Source organism: Homo sapiens, chromosome 2 (assembly GCF_000001405.40).
Source record: "Homo sapiens chromosome 2, GRCh38.p14 Primary Assembly".
Taxonomy (NCBI): domain Eukaryota; kingdom Metazoa; phylum Chordata; class Mammalia; order Primates; family Hominidae; genus Homo; species Homo sapiens.
Genome location: NC_000002.12, coordinates 173,134,114 through 173,153,810, shown reverse-complemented (window position 1 = coordinate 173,153,810; position 19,697 = coordinate 173,134,114). Strand labels below are relative to the sequence as shown.

General features: G+C 37.5%; 1 protein-coding gene across 8 annotated transcripts in view, besides 1 other annotated feature; it reads right to left on the bottom strand.

Moving 5' to 3' along the window:
- The window catches only part of MAP3K20 (mitogen-activated protein kinase kinase kinase 20), a 192,499-nt gene that overhangs the window by 114,205 nt on the left and 58,597 nt on the right, over positions 1–19,697 (bottom strand). The gene's annotated exons all lie outside the window — the stretch shown is intronic.
- Positions 14,448–14,617: an enhancer, noted in NCBI's record as "experimental_56397 CRE fragment used in MPRA reporter constructs". NCBI's record gives its function as "activates a minimal promoter by MPRAs in K562 erythroleukemia cells, with activity observed for the introgressed 2:174004007 variant allele {active_cell/tissue: K562}" and the evidence as "EXISTENCE:reporter gene assay evidence [ECO:0000049][PMID:34662402]".

The window sequence follows — 19,697 nt, the reverse complement described above, 5'->3', positions numbered from 1 at the left end:
TTAGAGATGATTTATACAGGAGGATACATGTAGGTTCTGTGCAAATACTACATCATTTTATACAAAGGACTTAGGCATCCACAGATTTTGGTATCTAGGAAATCCTAGGACAAATCTTCTGCAGATACCGTGAAATGACTAATTCTTAGGTTTACTTCAAAGAAATCTTCCAGGATCAGCAAGGCCTACAGAGGTAAAAGAATCACTACTTTCCCATAAGTTAGAACTTAAAGGTCATCTGCTCCAGTTGTCTAATGAAGTAACCCTCTTAGTAATATTCTAAGAAACAGGCATCCTACTGACTGAACACTTCCAGTGACAGATGAACACCAGGGAAACAGTGATGCATTGTTGGAAATTTGGAAATGATCAACCTACTAAATGGGTGTCAGCAGAGACATGTCAAGTCATCCTAAAGTGAAAGACCCTTTCAGGCCATGAGGATGGAGAATAACTTGATAGAAAGTTTTAACATATTTAATAAAATTGTGTGAGTATTCAGAGGTAGTCACGGACAGTCAGTTACAAAGACTTAGAGAAAAGTTAAAGAGATGATAAGCCCTAACAGGGGAGGGGTGAAAATGGGAGGCGTAACAACTTCTCCAGTAAGGTGGGCCTCCTGTTGAAGGGTAGGTAAATCGATTATCAGCTGAATGTGGTATCAGAACATATTCAAATCCTATTACTAACTGCTCTTGCTCTGAATTCACATTCATAAAGCAATCTTTTATAAGTTTGTTTCCCATACACCTTATCTAAAAATAGAAAACTTAGAGATTAGCAATATGGTTTAATTATTTAGTCTCAATCAAATTATATGTGATTTAGCATCCCTGAGAGTCCATTCAACTCTGAACTCTTAAGATTAAATTTCCAAATGCATAAATCAGAAGCCACTTCAACAGGGACCTGTTTGGGCAGCTACCAGCATTCCCTAGAGTGTGCCTTCACTATATTCTTGGGAGCCTCAAATCTCCTAAAGTAGGAAACTATTTTTCAAAATAGCCTATTCTACTTCTACTATGTCAAATTACTAGAGTTGACCTACGTAACTTGTGGTGCAAGTCTTGATCTTGCTTGCTGTATCTATTTCAGCTCAGATTTTTATCTCCTTATTTCTAAATACCGTCTCACCCCAAATTCTAGTTTTTCTCTTTGCTTGAAGATTCAGCGGGGTGTCCTTAATCTGACTGTCACTCTACTTAACACCTTACTATCTTTGAGCAGAAAGGTTTTTTTAAAAGGGCTCCTTTAAGAGCATTCGATAAGTGGTAATTAACAACACTGTAACTGGTCCATTCTTCCATGCCTGTTGACTGAAGCAGTGTTTGTGTAACAAATACATTTCATGCAACAAAGCTTAGAACCTAGGGGAGATCAGAGACAACAGGCTTCAATCTGTATTCTGAGTTCTCCAGGTAGAACTCTTCCCATGTAACAGCCTATAATCATCACTAAAAGTCCCAGACAAAATAATCCGAGATTTTCTGAATACTGCTTATCAGCTAAATATGACCTTCAAGAGACAAGAATCGTTCTGCATGTAAACAAATATAAACCTGGTGATGACTGATGCAATATACCAATCTACATCAGAGCAACATTCTGGCAGCCTGAGACATTTATTAACAAAATACACAGAAGGTCATTGCTGAACTGAGCTGAGATGTAGTGGTCCAACAGTGAGCCCAGAGATGAAGAAAATAAATTAGAACATCAACATGTTTTCCAGGAGATAAAAAATCATGGGCTATGAAGCATGAGAGTATAGACCCTGTTAAGAGCCTATAGAAAGGTATATAAAATTTGAGACAGATGAGGCAGACCACATAGTTTATTATAATTCTTTTGCAATGAATGAATGTAATAACTGTGGAGTTTCAGAAGTTGTAAGCTGAGTACAATCTGACTCATACATTACAATAGCTGACACCTATGGAGCATTTCCTGTGTCTCAACACTGGCTCATCACTTTACATACATTAACTCATTTAGTCCATAGCAGAAATACTGTTATTCCAGTGTGTCACTAAGAAAGTAAGGAACAGAGAGGTTAAGTAACTTGGTTATATAGCTGAGAAGCAGTGAAGCCAAAATTCAAACGAGGCAATCTGGCTGCAAAGCCTATGAATTCAATCATGACATAGGAATATAAATTCTCAAAATCACATAGATGTACATGCCTGCACATTTCGATAATGTTACATATAAATAAACACCTATTACTAGACATATGCCTAGGCCTTTGTATACAGTAAATGTTCTAACATATTTAGTAGTAGTTGATCTGAGTATGGAAGCAACTTTAAGATCACAATCAAGACACCTGCATTCTAGGCTGGCTTCTGATACTGAATGACTGTGTGACTTGGGGCGTCAGCTTATCTATTGATAAAATGTCAAAATGTGGAAGTAAAAGGGACAGATGGAATGATCTAGTCTCTTCAAGTCTAACATTCTGACTTAAATCTAATTTAACTGGTATAGGGTGGGGCTCAGGCATGGGTGCTTCTTAGAAGCTTCCCAGCTTCCAAGGTGAGTCTAATATGTAGCCAGGATTCTCTGAGTAACTGTCAGAGGGTTTTCCACAACAGCTGTTTCATTTTACATTCCCCTCAGAAGGGTTTGTGGGTTCTAACTTCTCTACACCCTTGCCAACACTTGTTATTGTCTAATAACAAGTGAGTGGTTCTGTGGCAAGCTAAACTGTAGCCTAGTTGCCTTGGAGTCTGAAAACCCTGGAGCTAAATTTCAGCTCTATCATGTATGAGCTGTGTGGTCTTCCAGGTCTCTCAATTAAGTGTGTTCTTTATATGTAAAATAAAACCAGTATCCACTTAACACAGTTACAAGGACCAAACTCCCATGTAAAGTACATGCTAGGCGCATGGTTTTCCTCAATAAATGTTAGCTGCTAGAAATTGTACCTACATTAAAACAATTTTTTTTGGCCGGGTGTGGTGGCTCACGCCTGTAATCTCAGCACTTTGGGAGGTCAAGGCGGGCGGATCACAAGGTCGAGTTCAAGACCAGCCTGACCAACACGGTGAAACCCCGTCTCTGCTAAAGATATGAAAATTAGCCAGGTATGGTGGTGTGTGCCTGTAATCCCAGCTACCCAGGAGGCTGAAGCAGGAGAATTGCTCGAACCCGGGAGGCAGAGGTTGCAGTGAGCCGAGATCACCCATTGCACTCCAGCCTGGGTGACAGGACAAGACTTTGTCTCAAAGAAAAAAAATTTTTTTAAGGATATGCAGAACTGAACTCGGATACACAGAACATCAGCCTGAACAATCAATTGCTGGAAAACAGATCCACAGACTGACAGCAATAGCACTCTCTCTTTTATGAGAGAAGAGGCTGAAACAACCCTGTGTAGGACACTGACCACAAATCAAAGAGAATCTAGAGAATAGAGCGTTGGAAAAGTGTTAGAACACATGTCATCCTGCATAGTCAGGTCAGGCCACAACTGGCAAAAGAATCTAAATCCAAAGACCAAGATATACTGAGATGACCACAAGCTGTTAGTAAGCCTTGTTCTGCAAGCTTCCAAATAAATCTCTTAAGTCACCCTGCTATTTTAAAAAATAAATTGCCATGTTGACAGAAATTGAACATCACTTCTCTTTTCCACTTACAGGATATGGAATCTGGCGTACCATCTTTAGACTCACAATCACCACATTTGCAGAACAAATCTGAATTTGATGGGGGCAATTCTTGTGTTTCTATTTTCTGTCCATTCACAGATTTCTGTGTCAGAGATCACAGAAGACACCACTACACTACTATTCTTTTTCAAAACTACTGCCTTTGGGCATTAGCCATCATTCATCATATCATCTCTATACACTCCCTAAATGAGATTTCAACAGTTGGACTGGTTTAATCAAATGGGCCCCAAAATATGTACTGTATTCTCCATTCAAATATGGAAGTCAATAGTCACTTGAAGTCAACAGGAAACATATTTTTGAGTTATTTGTCCAGTAGTGAGAATGAATGGCAATGATCTCTTAACTGTAAAATGAAAGTATCACCTCTCAACCCTCGAAAGGCTGTGGGGAGGATGCGCGGAGATGACGTAGGCAGAAAGCAGTGCATTCTTCCTAAGGCAGTACTCCTCAGTACTCAGCACTCAGGTAAGAATGCAAGGACTCCAGTTTAGGTCCTGGTCTTTTACCACCTCCCCCCTGTGCTATTGAGCAAGGTTCTCAGCCTTTCCAAACAGTACAAATCTGGGGAATGAGGATAATGAGACTTGCATTGACTAGATCATAAGGGTTTTTTTTAAAAAAAAATAAACTTTTTTATTTTGGAGTAATTTTAGATTCAGAGAAAAATATAGGAGTGTTCCCATATACCCCTCACCCATTGTTAACATCTTATGTTACTATATATAGTACATTACTATTAACTAAGCTCCAGACTTTGGATTTCACCATTTTCTCCACTAATGTCCTCTCTGCATTTCAGGATCCAACCCAAGGTGCCACACTGCATTTAGTTGTCATGTCTCTTTAGTCTACTCTGGTCTCATATTCACAGGGTTTTTATAAGAATCAAATAAATACAAGAACACTTTGTACAGTGAAAAGTACCATGAGAATACACTTTACTATTCTTATGCATTAAATGAGTACATCCATGTAAAGCACCAGGAAAACTGCCTGTCACATATTAAGCTCCAAATATTGATTTCAGCACTATCATTATAAATATTTCTACCTATCCTACATTGTGATCAATTCTATACGTCTACAACAGATGTCTGGGGTTCAAAATTCCTTCTATGACCACAGATTTTATTTTCAGTGTAGGAAGTCAGCTTTATAGAATCAGCCCTTGACCAGATTTTTGTAAACACCTGGCTCAATCTGGGAGAGCAGGAAACAGAAGAAGAGGCAGAGTGAAGGCAGAGGTATTAATGGAACCTCAGGACCCACTTAGGTTTCCCTTCATCATCGAACATCAATCTCACACCTCAGAGCTATACAGTCAAAGAAGTGAAGAACTCTGCCAAATTTGGCAAACCATGAAATTCAGTAAGGGACATTCCATAGAGATCAGCAAAATAACAAATACCCACACATTTCCTGTTAAACAATCTGCACACCGCTTCCAGGCATCGTCAGGAGGTTGGAGCGACCTGGGGTGGAAGGAGGCAGGGAAGGGATGCTTTTCTTTATCCCTCAGTGGACCAGCTGGTTAACTCTGCCCCTTTCTTGTCTTTCCTGCTGTCCTAGATTTAGCAAGGTGTTTATGAAGGTCTGCTCAAGGGCCAATTCTATAAAGCATGACCAGGACCCATTCTACTCACACCACTCATCCTAAGGATATCAGGAGATAGTGGAATAAATTCCAAGTCCCTTTCGAATAGTAAAATAAAGAACATGTTCTGGCACTTAACCTAGACTGAAAGCCATGAAACAGCCTACCTCTCATAGCATAAAATTTTACCAGAAAGTGGTAACAAGAAGGTTTTCTAACCCAAGAGCAAGGGAGAATACTAAGAGATTTCAGTACAGAGGCCAAAAACATGTCCACTTAAGGGTATGTTTGTTAAACCCATTAAAATTATGTAATGTTAGCCAACAAAGACAGACGAGAACTGGTGTGAGGGGGGACAGGGGAGGATAAAGGGGCAGAGAGTTGGGTAGAGGCATAAGAAACAGTGTATTCCTTCCATCTTGTAGGATTAACTTCAGAAAAACCATACTAACAAAAATCCAGAAAATTTATTTTTGAGTCTTTCTGTGAGGCCACTTATGGATAATGCTTCTCGGTCAAAGTCAGATTTTCAGAGAGGTCAGGATATAAGCATATTAACAAACAAAATCAGACAACTTTTTTAAAAATCCTTTTTGGGGCCAGTTACAGACAATGCTTCTTGGCCAAATTCATATTTTAAAAAGGCTGGAGTGGCCGGGCACGGTGGCTCATGCCTGTAATCCCAGCACTTTGGGAGGCTGAGGTGGGTGGATCACGAGATCAAGAAATCAAGACCATCCTGGCCAACATGGTGAAACCCTGTCTCTACTAAAAATACAAAAATTAGCCGGGCGTGGTGGCAGGCGCCTGTAGTCCCAGCTACTCAGGAGGCCGAGGCAGGAGAATCACTTGAACCCGGGAGGCGGAGGTTGCAGTGAGCCGAGATCGTGCCACTGCACTCCAGCCTGGCAACAGAGTGAGACTCCGTCTCAAAAAAAGAAAAAAAAGGCTGGAGTTTGTTGGTATACTATTTTGAGTCAAAATTAAAAACAGTATACACTGTGGCAGATGCTGCTGGTTGCATTCTATTTTGTTTAGAATAGCAATATGCACCCCCAAAATTTCATTTCCCAACCCCACTTGAAGCTAAATGTGGCCATATGACATATCCTGGCTAATAAGATGTAAGAAGTTATTATCTACATACAAAAAAATAAAGTTAGATCCCTTCCTCAAAACAGACAAAAAATGAATCACACACATGAATGTATGAGCTAAAACTATAAAACTCTTAAAAGAAATTTAGAAGTAAATCTTCATGACCTTAGGCAAAGCCCTCTTAGATATGACAACAAAAGCACAAGCAACGAAAGTTAAACTGAATGCCCCCAAAATGAAGAACGTTAGTACTTCAATAGATATTATCAAGAAAGTGAAAAGACAACCCACAGAATAGGGCAATAAATATTCATAAATCACACACCTGATAAGGGACTAGTATGTGGAATATATACAAATTCTTACAACTCAATAACAAAAAGATAAATAATTGAATTAAAAATAGGCCAAGAATTCAAATAAGTATCCAAAGAAGATATCTACAAATGGCCACTAAGTATAAGGAAAGATGCTGACCGTCATTATTCATTAGGGAAATGCAAATCAAAACCAGAACTAGAAACCACTTCACACCCACTAGGATGGTTATAATTAAAAAGACAGAGAATAACAAGTGTTGGCAAGGGTGTAGAGAAGTTAGAACCCACATACCCTTCTGGGAGGAGTGTAAAATGTAACAGCTGCTGTGGAAAACCCTCTGACAGTTACTTAAAGAATTAAAGAGTTACCATGTGACTCATCACTTCTACTCTTAGGTATATATACTCAAGAGAATTGAGAATACACGTCCACAAAAATCTTGTATACAAAGACCACATGGTTTTAAATTCTATTTATATGAAATGTCCAGAATAGGCAGATCTCTGGAGACAGAAAGTAGACGAGTGGGTGTCTTGGGTTGGGGACTTGAGGAGAACTGGGAAATGATGCTTGATGAATATGGATTTCTTTTGGAGGTGATAAAAATATTCTAAAAGTGATTGTGGTGATGATTTCATAACCGTGAATATATTATAAAACACTTAATTGTACATGTTACATGGATGAATTACAAGGTATATGAATTACACTTCAATTCACCTTCAGTATTACATATATGAATAAAATAGTGTGCATGTACACTGTATATGTGCATGTATGCATGTATACAAACACACACATTTGGTTATTGATTGGCGCTTCTGGAGAATCCCTCTAAAAGGCAACAGACTTGACTGGCTTGTTCCTTTGCCTTAAAAAAAAAAACAACAAAAACCTGAAACTTTTTTGTTTCTTCTAACTGAGGTAAAATTTATGTATAATAAAATACACAGACCTTAAGTGAATAAGGTAGAGTCTTGAAAATATATGCACCTATGTATGACCTTAATCAAGATACAGAATGTTTCCATCTTTCCATGTGTCTACCCTTCAGTACCCAACCCTCATGGGCTCTGTTCTGCTTTCACCATCAGAGATAATTTTGCCTTTTATTGAACTTCACGTGAGTGGAATCATGATGTAGTCTTTTTTGCTCAACATTTTGTTTTTGAGATATATATATATATCAGTAGTTCATTCTTTTTATTGCTAATTAGTATTCCATTTTATCAACAGTCTTTATCTATTTTCCTGTTAATATTTGAGTTGTTCTCAATTGTTGGCTATTATAAACAGCTGCTACAAATATTCTTATACTAGTCTTTTTTGGATATATGTTTTCATTCTATTGGGTAAACACCTATAAGTTGAATTGATGACTCATAGGGTAGGTGTTTAATTTTTGAAGAAACAGCAAAGAGCATCCCAAAGAGGTGATACCATTTCACACTCCCCCCAAAAACATATGAGAATGTGCTGACTCACATTCTCACCAACACTGGGTGTTTTGGGTTTTTTAAATTTTAGCCTTTCTAGTCTGGGTGAAATGGGTCTCACTGTGGTTTTCATTTGATATCCTTAACCACTGTCATTGAACACTTTCACACATGCTTATTGATTATTCATATAACTTTTTGTGAGATGACTATTCTAATCCTCTACCTATTTTTGAAAATCGTTATCTTTTTAATATTGACTTGCAGGAGTTCTTTAAATATTCTGAAAGCAAGTGCTTTGACAGATATATCTCATTATAAACATGCTCTCCCAGTCAGTAGATTGCATCTTTGTTTTTCAAACAATTTCTTTATGTAAGCACAGAGTTTGGATTTGATGAAGCTCTAGTTACCAATTTTTTTTTCTTTTTTTTTGAGACGGAGTCTTGCTCTGTCACCCAGGCTGGAATTTTATTTTTAGTACCTGTTATGGTTTGTCTAAGGAATATCTGGCTATCAAAGGTCACAAGAGATTACCTTTGCTTTCTTATAGAAGTACTATAGTTTTCGCTTTTACATTTAGGTTTACCCTGGATCTTGAATTAATTTTTGCATTTGGTATAAAGAAGTCAAGGTTCCCTTTTTTTCATATGCATATCCTACTCCTCCAGCACTATTTATTAAAAAGATTTTTCTTTTCTGCATTTAATTACATTGGCATGTTTGTTAAAACTCAATGGATTATAATATGTCTGGGTCTAAATATGAAATTCTGTTGCATCTATATTTTTGTCTTTATACCAATACTATACTGTTTTAATTACCAGAGCTTTGGATTAAGTCTTGAAATCAGGTAATGTGAATCCTCCAATTTGATTTTTCTACAAATCAATTTTTGGAGGAAAGTAACATTTTAATACTGAGTCTTACAACTGGACTTATGGAAAACGCATGTCTCTCCACTTATTTAGGTCTTTTTTGTTTGAGATAGGGTCTTGCTCTGTCACCCAAGCCAGAGTGCAGTGGCGAGATCATGGCTCACTGTAGCTTTGAACTCCCAGGCTCAATGAATCTTCCCACCTCAGCCTCCCCAGTAGCTGTGATTACAGGTGCATGCCCCCCCACTCCCAGCTACTTTTTGTATTTCTTTTCTTTTCTCTTTTTTTTCTTTTCTCTTCTCTTCTTTCTTTCTTTTCTTTTTTTTTTTTTTTTTTTTTTTGAGACGGAGTCTCCCTCTGTTGCCCAGGCTGGAGTGCAGTGGCGTGACCTCGGCTCACTGCAAGCTCCGCCTCCCAGGTTCACACCATTCTCCTGCCTCAGCCTCCCAAGTAGCTGGGACTACAGGTGCCCACCACCACGCCCGGCTAATTTTTTGTATTTTTAGTAGAGATGGGGTTTCACTGTGTTAGCCTGGATGGTCTTGATCTCGTGACCTTGTGATCTGCCCACCTTGGCCTCCCAAAGTGCTGGGATTACAGGCGTGAGCCACCACACCCGGCCTTCTTTCTTTCTTTTATTTTCTTTTCCTTTCTTTATTTTTATTTTTTTTGTAGAGACAGGGTTTCACCATGTTGCACAGGCTGGTCTTGAATACCCGGGCTCGTGTGATCTGCCTGCCTTGGCCTCCCTAAGTGGTGGGATTATAGGCATGATTATACATGCCTATAATTTAGGTCTTTTAAAGTTTCTCTCAGAAATGTCTTGTAGTTTCCAGCATAGAGGTTTTGTATGTCTTTTGATGAATTTATTTCAATGTATTTTTTGTGTTTAATGCTAATGTAAATAATTTTTTTTTACATTGTCTTTAAAATCTTTGCTGCTAGTATATAGAAATATAATAAACTTGTTTCCTGTAACTTTGTTAAATAAATTGATCAGTCCTAGTATTTGTTTTGTAGATTTTTAAAAAATTTTTTATGTAAACAATCATTTAATCTGCAAATAAAGACAGTTTTACTTCTTCCTCTCCAATCTTAATGCCTTTTGTTTCTTTCTCTTGTCTTACTGCACTGACCAGGATCTCTACAGAACAGTGAACAGAAATCATGAGAGCAGATATCCTTGTCTTACTCCTAATCTTAGGGAGAAAAACATTCAATATTTCCCCGTTGAGTTAAAATGTTAGGTGTAGGTTTTTTGGCAGATCCCTTTAAAAGACTGAAAATTATAAAAACTTATTTTATGATCTATCCTGGAGAACACTCCATGTGCACCTGAAGATAATGTATATTTTGTAGTTGTTAAGTATAATGTCTCAGTTGCTTAGGGGGGGATATTTAAAATTTACAAATGTAATTGTGAATTTGTCTATTTCTTTTTCTAGTTCTATCAGTTTTGCTTCATGTATTTTGAAGCTCTGTTATTAGGATAAATATTCATTTATGATTGTTATATCTTTTAAGAAACTGACTTTTTAAATCATCATTATTAAATCATTTTATCTTTAGTAATACTTTTGGTTCCTGAAGTCCATACTGTGTCTGATATTAATAGAGCCACTACACCTTTATTATGCTTTCTATTTGCATACCCCTCTTTTCCCATTTCATGTTTTTACTTTCAACAGATCTGTGTCTTATATTTAAAATACACCTCTTGTAGATAGCATATAGTTGGGTCTTGTTTTATTTTTTTGTTTTTTGTTTGTTTCTTTTTGAGACAGGTTCTAGCTCTGCTGTCCAGGCTGGAGTGCGATGGTGTGATCACAGCTCACTGCAGCCTTGAACTCCTGGGCTCAAGTGATCCTCCTGCCCTGGCCTCCCAAATTGCTGGGATTAGAGGTGTGAGCCACTGTGCCTGGCTGGATCTTGCTTTTTCATCCAGCCTAGCAATCTCTGCCATTTAATTGGGGTGCTTAATTCATTTATACTTAATGTAATTATGTATATTACTGGGCTTAAGTTTACTATCTTGGTTTTTAAAAATTCGTTCTATTTGTTTTTTGTTCCCCTGTTTTTCCTTTCCTGTCTTTGTTTTAACAATTTTTTTCTTAGTATATCATTTTCATTCATTCATTGGCTTTTTAGCTATACCTCTTTTGTTTTGTTTTTTTGTGGGGGTAGGTAGTGGTTGCTCTAAGAATTCAACATATATTTTTGCCACAGTCTACTTAGATTTAATTTTGTGCTACACATAAAATGTAAGATGCTTGCTCACTTCCCCATCCTTTGTGTCATTGTGATATATATATACTACTTTTTTTTTTTTTTTGAGACGGAGTCTCGCTCTGTTGCCCAGGCTGGAGTGCAGTGGCACGATCTCAGCTCACTGCAACCTCCACCTCCTGGGTTCATGCCATTCTCCTGCCTCAGCTTCTTGGGTAGGTGGGACTACAGGCACCCACCACCACGCCGGGCTTATTTTTGGTATTTTTAGTAGAGTCAGGGTTTTACCATGTTAGCCAGGATGGTCTCGATCTCCTGACCTCATGATCCACCCGCCTCGGCCTCCCAAAGTGCTGGGATATAGGCGTGAGCCACTACGCCCAGCCATGTGTTATATATTTTAACGTACATACATTATACAACCCATAATATAACACTGCAACTTTCCTTTTAGCTGTTGTCTTTTGAAGAAATTAAAAGAATTTTTAAAATGATCATTTGTATTTACCCTAATATTAACCATAACTAAATCTGCTGGCAATAAATTATCTCAGCTTTCATTTATCTAAAAATGTCTATTTCATCTTCAGTTTTGAAGACTATTTTAAGTGGGTATTGATCTCTAAAATGGCAGTTATCTTTTTTCTTTTGGCATATTACAGGTCATTCCACTGTCATTTGGCCTCCATTGTTTCTAGTGAGAAGTAACTGGTATTGCTTCCTTTATGTAATGTGTCTTTTTTTTCTGGCTGTTTTTGACATTTCTCTTTTCATCAATGATTTTTAGCAGTTTAACTATGATGTGACTGAGTGTGGTGTTTCTGGTTTTCATTTTTAATTTATCCTGCTTGGGGTTTTCTGAGCTTGCTGGAACTGTAAGTGTATGGTTTTCATCAAAGTTGGGGCACTTGAAGTCATCATTTCTTCACATATTTTTCTATCCATCCCCTCTCTCTCTCTCCTTTCTTTCTGTGATTCCATTAATGTATATTAGATTGACATTGTCTCATGTGTAACTGCTCAATTTTTAAAATTTTTTTTGTTTGGTCTTGAGATTTGATAAATTATATTAATCTGTCTTCACATATACTGACCTTTTCTTTTGCCTTCCTCAATCTGCTGTTAAGCCCCATCAGTACAATTTACATTTAAAGAGACTGTAGTTTTACAGTTCTAGAATTTTTAGTTTCCATCTTCCTGCTGAATTACTGATTCTGCTCTCTCATTCTAACCATGGTTTCCTTTAAGTTCTTGAACATGTTTATAAAAGCTGCTTTGTAGTCTTTTGTCTGCTAATTACAACTTCACATGTCTAATATGTTTTACTTCACATGTCTAGTTTTTCTAATAATACTACACGAGAATTTAGTATAAAAAGTAAATGTGAAGTAAACAAATATTATTTAAATACAAAATAAAAAAGTTATTAAAAGGAATGTGGTAGCTCTACGTGTAGTCACATAAAAAAGTGCCTCAGTATACTAAGTTCAAAAAGTAAGTTGCGAGGTGATTTACAACTTACACATTGGGACACGTTTTTATGATATATATACATATAAAATATCATAATCTAGTTTTTTTAAGTTTTTACTTTGAGATAATTATAGATACACATGCAATTATAAGAAATAATACAGAGAGAACCTATATATTTTTCAACCAGTTTCTCCCAATAGAAATCGACATTTACACAATCCACCAACTTTATTCAGATTTCACCAGTTTTATATGCACTCGTGTGTGTGTGTGTATATGTTTAGTTCCGCATAATTTTGTCATACACGTACATTCAAGTGATTCCTACCACAGTCAAGATACAGGAAAATTTCATCACAAGGTTCCCTCATGCCACCCTCTTCACATGATCCATTTTTATGGGGGGAATAGTATTAGCGATAGTTATAAATACAGAGAAAAAAATACATCTGGGCTGGATGCAGTGGCTCACACCTGTAATCCCAGCACTTTGGGAGGCCAAAGCGGGTGGATCACCTGAGGTTGGGAGTTCGAGAACAACCTGACCAAAATAGAGAAACCCCATCTCTACTAAAAATTCAAAATTAGCCGGGTGTGGTGGTGCATGCCTCTAATCCCAGCTACTTGGGAGGCTGAGGCAGAAGAATCACTTGAATTCAGGAGGCAGAGAGGTTGCGGTGAGCTGAGATTGTGCCCCTGCATACCAGCCTGGACAACAAGAGTGAAACTCCATCTCAAAAAAAAAATCTGGAAAGTTACTCACAAACTAATGATTTTAAAGTATAGGATTGTGGCTGGGCGTGGTGGCTCATGCCTGTAATCCCAGCACTTTGGGAGGCTGAGGTGGGTGGATCACGAGGTCATGAGTTTGAGACCAGCCTGGCCAACATGGCAAAATCCCATCTCTACTAAAAATACAAAAATTAGCTAGGCATGGTGGCACGCGCCTGTAATTCCAGCTACTCGGGAGGCTGAGGCAGGGGAATCGCTTGAACCCGGGAGGCGGAGGTTGCAGTGAGCTGAGATTGCGCCATTGCACTCCTGCCTGGGCAACAAGAGTGAAACTCCATCTAATAAATAAATAAATAAATAAATAAAATTAAGTATAGGATTGCAGGGAAGGAAAACTGCTTTTTTACTTTGCATACTGCTGAAATTTCTTGTTTTACACTGAACATGTATTACTTTTTTAACATAAAAATTTAAAATCTAGGAAGTAAATATAACATGGAAATATGTGGGTGTAAGTATAGCAGGGTCACAGTAAACAAATGGCTATGAATAGAAACTTTAAAAAGAAACATGATACTGAGTGTGTAAAATAAAATATTTAGGAATCTACTTTTCGTTTACTAACTATATCCATATTGGTTCCTTTACTTAAGTAAGCACTGGTCATTTTTTATTTTTGGAAGAGATTCCACCAAGCAAGAAAAAGAACTTAAAAATTCACAGAAAACTAAAAAGCTAAAATAAATGAAGTTATTTTACTTATAAGTAAGATAACAATCAGGGGGAAAGTAGGCACCTAATAAATGTCATTTTGTAAGAGTTTTCTGAAGAGTATAATTTTAATGTTGTTTTTAAAATCATATTACAGCATTACATTGATCCTTTTATCCTTGGTCCAAACAAGCACTGTTAGACAGCATATGGTATAGACTCAGAATAACTCAGAGAAGAACTTTCTAATAGTCAGTTTCCCAAAGATAAAAGGGACTGGCCCAGGAGGCTACTGAGTTCTCCTTCATAAGCAATCAGAATTCAAACAGGAGGTAAATGCCCATTTGTGGCAGTAATGTTTCGGAGGACATTAAGGCATCGGAAATATGGTCAATTAAAGTCCTTTCCAAAGCTGAGATTCTATTATGAGTAGAGCACACACTGGGTCCAAAGCCAGAAAAACCTCAGATTAAGCACTGTACTTCTCCAGTGTGCTTCTGGGAATCATACACACTTGCTTCATCATTTGCAAGGAAATAATGTAAGTAACAGTGCTTTACAAATGGCAAAGCACTGAGTAATATTATATACTATCATTTGAGGATACCAAGTTCAAACGTTAACAAAAGTTACTTAAGCCAGCCATTAAGCAGAACTTCTGAATGGTGAGTATGATTGAACCCACTTCCAGACAGCCTGTGGACTTTTAAAAACAGATACAGAATTCGCAGTGTCTGAAATGACTTAGCTACAATCTTGATCTAGAACAGCAATTCATGTGGTACTATGGCCCTAGCTGATAGAAGTACCAGATGAAGAAGGAAAACAAAATGACCTTTTGGTGCTAATGTTAAAGTGTTATCAAATAAGTGGCTATCATTCAGGAATATCAAACCTTCTCTCTTGTCACAAGCATCCAGTAGGCAGTTGAGTATCATTTAAAAAGCAACAGACACAGAGGGAACCTAACAGGGTGTAAGAGCTCCAAACCAGCAAACCAAAGACCTGGGCCCTTGGACTGAATCTGTTGCTACTGAACATCACCTATCTGAACTTCAAATTACTGATTGTTAAAATGAGGGCTTGGGGCTGTTGGACTAAAATAGCTATTAAAATTTCAGTTTGTGTATTGTATTCGATTTCTAAGAGAACAGAACTTTTCACAATTATGTGAAAACCCACCTGTTAAGCAAAAAACCTACACTACAGTGTCAATCCTTCATCATCTTTCAAATCTTCCCCATATTACAATGCTATGACTGTGTACAAAATATCCAAACCTTAACACATCCATAATTAGGAGTTCAAAACACACAAAATAGAAAAAGTGCATATTTCATAATCATGGACACTTTCAGATTTTAAACATCCCTTTAAAATCACAAGTATTTGCCAGGCACGGTAGCTCACGCCTATAATCCCAGCACTTTGGGAGGCCGAGGCGGGCGAAACACGAGGTCAGGAATTCAAGATCACTTTGGCTAACATAATGAAACCCCGTCTCTACTGAAAATACAAAAAAAATTAGCTGGGTTGGGTGGCGGGCGCCTGTAGTCCCAGCTACTTGGGAAGCTGAGGCAGGAGAATTGCTTGAACCTGTGAGGCGGAGGTTGCAGTGAGCCGAGATCACGCCACTGCACACTCCAGTCTAGGCGACACAGCAAGATCCTGTCTCAAAAAAGAACAAAAAATCACAAATATTTATTAATCTACGTGTCTTTTCAAATAAGCTACTTACCTGGAATAAATGAGGATGGTTAAAGTAGAAAGAAATTGCTAGGTAATTGTTCAAGTAGATTTTTGTGGCTTGTATGGTTGAGGATCACTTTTACTTTCTGTTACTTAAATGTTGATGCCCACGTGTCAACAGCACTAGTATTAGGAAATTTTATGTGGGTTACAATTAAAGCCAGTACTTTAAAAACTGTAAAAATAAAATTTCCTTCCATTTCTGCTCATAGATTCCCTTTTCTTTTTTGGGACACACAGATTCTCAAAAGAATATTTTATAAACTACAATAAGAGCAACATACCTATTCACAGGAAAAAGGAAAAAAAGAGAGGGAGAGAAAAGAGACAAAATAAAACATGCACACTTCTTACTCATATGTAATTACATACTAGACAATTTCTCTTACTTTAAAATTACTCAACCAGAAAAAAAAAAATCTTCTCAAGCTGACATTTAAATTAAAATGGATGCTTCTGTCTTCTGCATTCATACTTATACTTGCCTTCCCAAACAGAGAACATAGGGTATTTATAATTCTCTTCTGTACACATCTACACTACACCGTATCTCTCAGTAACAAGGTGACTACCAAGGCACAAAAGATCTAATAAGCCATAATCACTATTATTCTTTAGTCCAGGTGTTTTGGCAGATTCCTAGTCTAGATCCTGACAGTAAATGGGGAATTTTGCATATATAAATTTTAAGGTAAGTCATTGTGACATTTAACCATTTTTAAACAGATTAAAGAGCTTAATCAAATCTAACGCTTTAACACTCGCCAGCTACAAACACACAGGAAAGCATGTTTTCCCACGTAAAGTTCACAAACACAGCCATCAATCCTTTTTAGGTCAGGAGAGAAATTGAGAAGACCAATCTTCCAAAAATTTTCATCGCTACTCTCCCTAAAAAGTGGTGCTTCTTGCAAGAAAAGGATAGAACAAAGATCTTAATGTTGCAGGTTTGAAAGACAACCACATCAAAACCAGGTATAGTGGTCCTAACCTAAGCAGCTGGCAAACTGCAGGATGGATGTGGGCACTCTTCTGCCTAATAAAATCTGAATCAAACACTTTGCATCTGATTCTCTATGTGAGCTTTTATGCAAACTTCTAAAGTGCAAGGAATCCTGGGGTGGAAGAGCTATTCTGAGAGATTTCACATAGTTCATGTAATTAGGGAAACCACTTCCTTTGATTGTGAGTGTTCAAAACAGCTGAATTTCTCCTATCAAAGGCACTCTGTGATTTGGGTCACCTCTTTTACGTTCTCTTTCATGTTCCTCAGGATGAGAGGTGAAGCCGGAGAGCACATTATTTAGGGGAAAAAAGATCTTGCTTTTTGTTTTAGGGATTGAACTTGCACTATTCAAAAGATTGTCATTTAGAATCTTCCTTTCTTTCTCACCCTCTGCTTCTTTCCTTCTCTGTCGAGGCTCTTCAGGCACTGCAGAGAACACAATCCAAAATGCCAATTTAAAGCTGATGGAAAACTGTCAGATTGTGTGTAAAAGAATTCTAATTTTCATGTTTGGGTTTAAAACATAATTAGAGTTGTAATCTGCAGGCTCTTGATCTCCATATTATGCATTTTCTGTTATGACAGTGACTAAGTCAAAAAGAGGGAAAGAAACATGAACGAACAGGAAAAAGGAGCCCCACACCCCAAAAATCACATTCCTCCGTGCCATCAGCAAATGCTGTAAAAAGAAACTGCCACTCTATTCTTTCCCTATATTCCTGGGGTATCCTTTTTCCCTAAAAGTGGAACACAGGCTATTCAACAAGGTGGCACATGCTGCTTTTGTTACAGCTAATTTTAGCATTGATGTTGTTAAGGTATTCAGTACAACTTATTCTACAACACCTTGGTCAGTGTAGCACACAGGTTTGTCAATGAATATCTAAACTAAAAAGCAGTGAAAAATAATTCACTATTTACCAACCACTTAGATGCTCACATTTCTACTGAGTGTTTAAAGCAAGTCTAATAATCTATATGCTACAATCCCTAAGATTTTAGTTAATTTAAATTCAGTTAATTAAAATTATACATGGTTAATAAAAACTGGTGATACTAAGTTGTCACTCATATCAAGGAAAAGGGTTTTGAAGCATATGAAAAAATGTGATAAAATTGTCTAGAGTGATAATGATATCTCCTGCATTCATTATATTTGACATTTACAATTCAGAGAAATATAACTGGGCAGAAATTATCCCCATTTTATAAGTGCAGAAACCTAGTCCCAGAGAGGCTGGCTGATTTCCCAAACAGCAAAGGAGGAAAAGATCTAAAACTTTAAACACAGAAGAATAGGGTATGATCTCCTTCATTCAGGATTCTAAAATCTTCCCATCACAGTTTGAAAATCACATTAACTTTTCTGGCAAATATATCACATTTTAACTCATAATAAGCCCCAAATATAAAATGTCCTTCTGTTAAGCCACATCTTCCTCATCCTCTATCAATCCTTAGCTTTCCAGAGTCTCCATGCAGGACTTTCATTTCCGTCTGTTAACCCACTGCTCTAATCTGTTGAAATCTTTTCAGGTTCTTATTCTTATTGCACCTTTTAACATGTCAATTACTCTTCCGACTGTTACAGGAACTCAGAGTGAATCAGATGCTACCTAAATTATTAATGGAAGTATTGAATAGGACATTGAATAAAATTATTTAACTCTACAAGAATTAAATGCTCTTTATGTACTTGTAAAAGTGTTTACAAATCGCCTAATTTGTATACGGAAACTTTTTTTCAATATTTTTATTTCAGGACCAGATAAACTTTGCCATCCAATTAGTAATACATCCTCTTTGCTTCTATCAGAATTATAACCCCTAGTATATTTTGTAGCCAAAATGTATCGAACACTTACTATATGCCAAGCATTGTCCTGAGGCAGGTCCTGTTATCCTCACTTTAGAAATGAGGAGACTAAGGCACAAATATGTTAAAGAACTTGCCTGAGGACTAAGCTAGTCACGTGGCTGAGCTAGGGATTTCAACATGGGTCTGACGCCCGAATCCACACTTTAAACCACTTCCTCTGTTCTGAAGATATTCACAAGTTTCTTTCTCCCAGTTTGACTGTAAGATCCCTGTGGGTCTCCAACTTCCAGCACAGTTCTGGCATATATTAAGCATAATAAGGATGGAAAGGGCTCTGTAGCCTAAATAAAATAAAAGTAAAAAGAGCATCATAGCTGCCTGGAAATATCTGAAGGCTGCCACATGGAGGAAGTATCAGTTCCAATGTATGTAGCTCCAGAGGACAGTACTAAAACCAATGGGCAGCGTTAAAGTAAAGCAACCTCTAACTAAGACCAACTAAGTCAGCAGTAATGGGCTGGGGGCAGTGGCTCACGCCTGTAATCCCAGCACTTTGGGAGGAGGACAAAACGGGCGGATTACTTGAGGTCAGGAGTTTAAGATCAGCCTGGCCAACATGGCGAAACCCCGTCTCTGCAAAAAAAAAAAAAAAAAAATATATATATATATATATATATATATATATATATATGTATAGAGACACACACACACACACACAATTTAGCCAGGAGTGGTGGCATGCGCCTGTGGTTCTAGCTACTAGAGAGGGTGAGCTGGAGAACTGCTTGAACCTGGGAGTTGGAGGTTGCAGTAAGCCAGTAAGCCAAAATCACGCCACGGCACTCCAGTCTGGAGGACAGAGCGAGATTCTGTCTCAAAAAAAAAAAAAAAGATAGCTATTGAAAACAAGGAGGGTGTCTTAATATAAGATTCCTACCACCAGAGGTATTTAAAATATGCAGATTACCAGA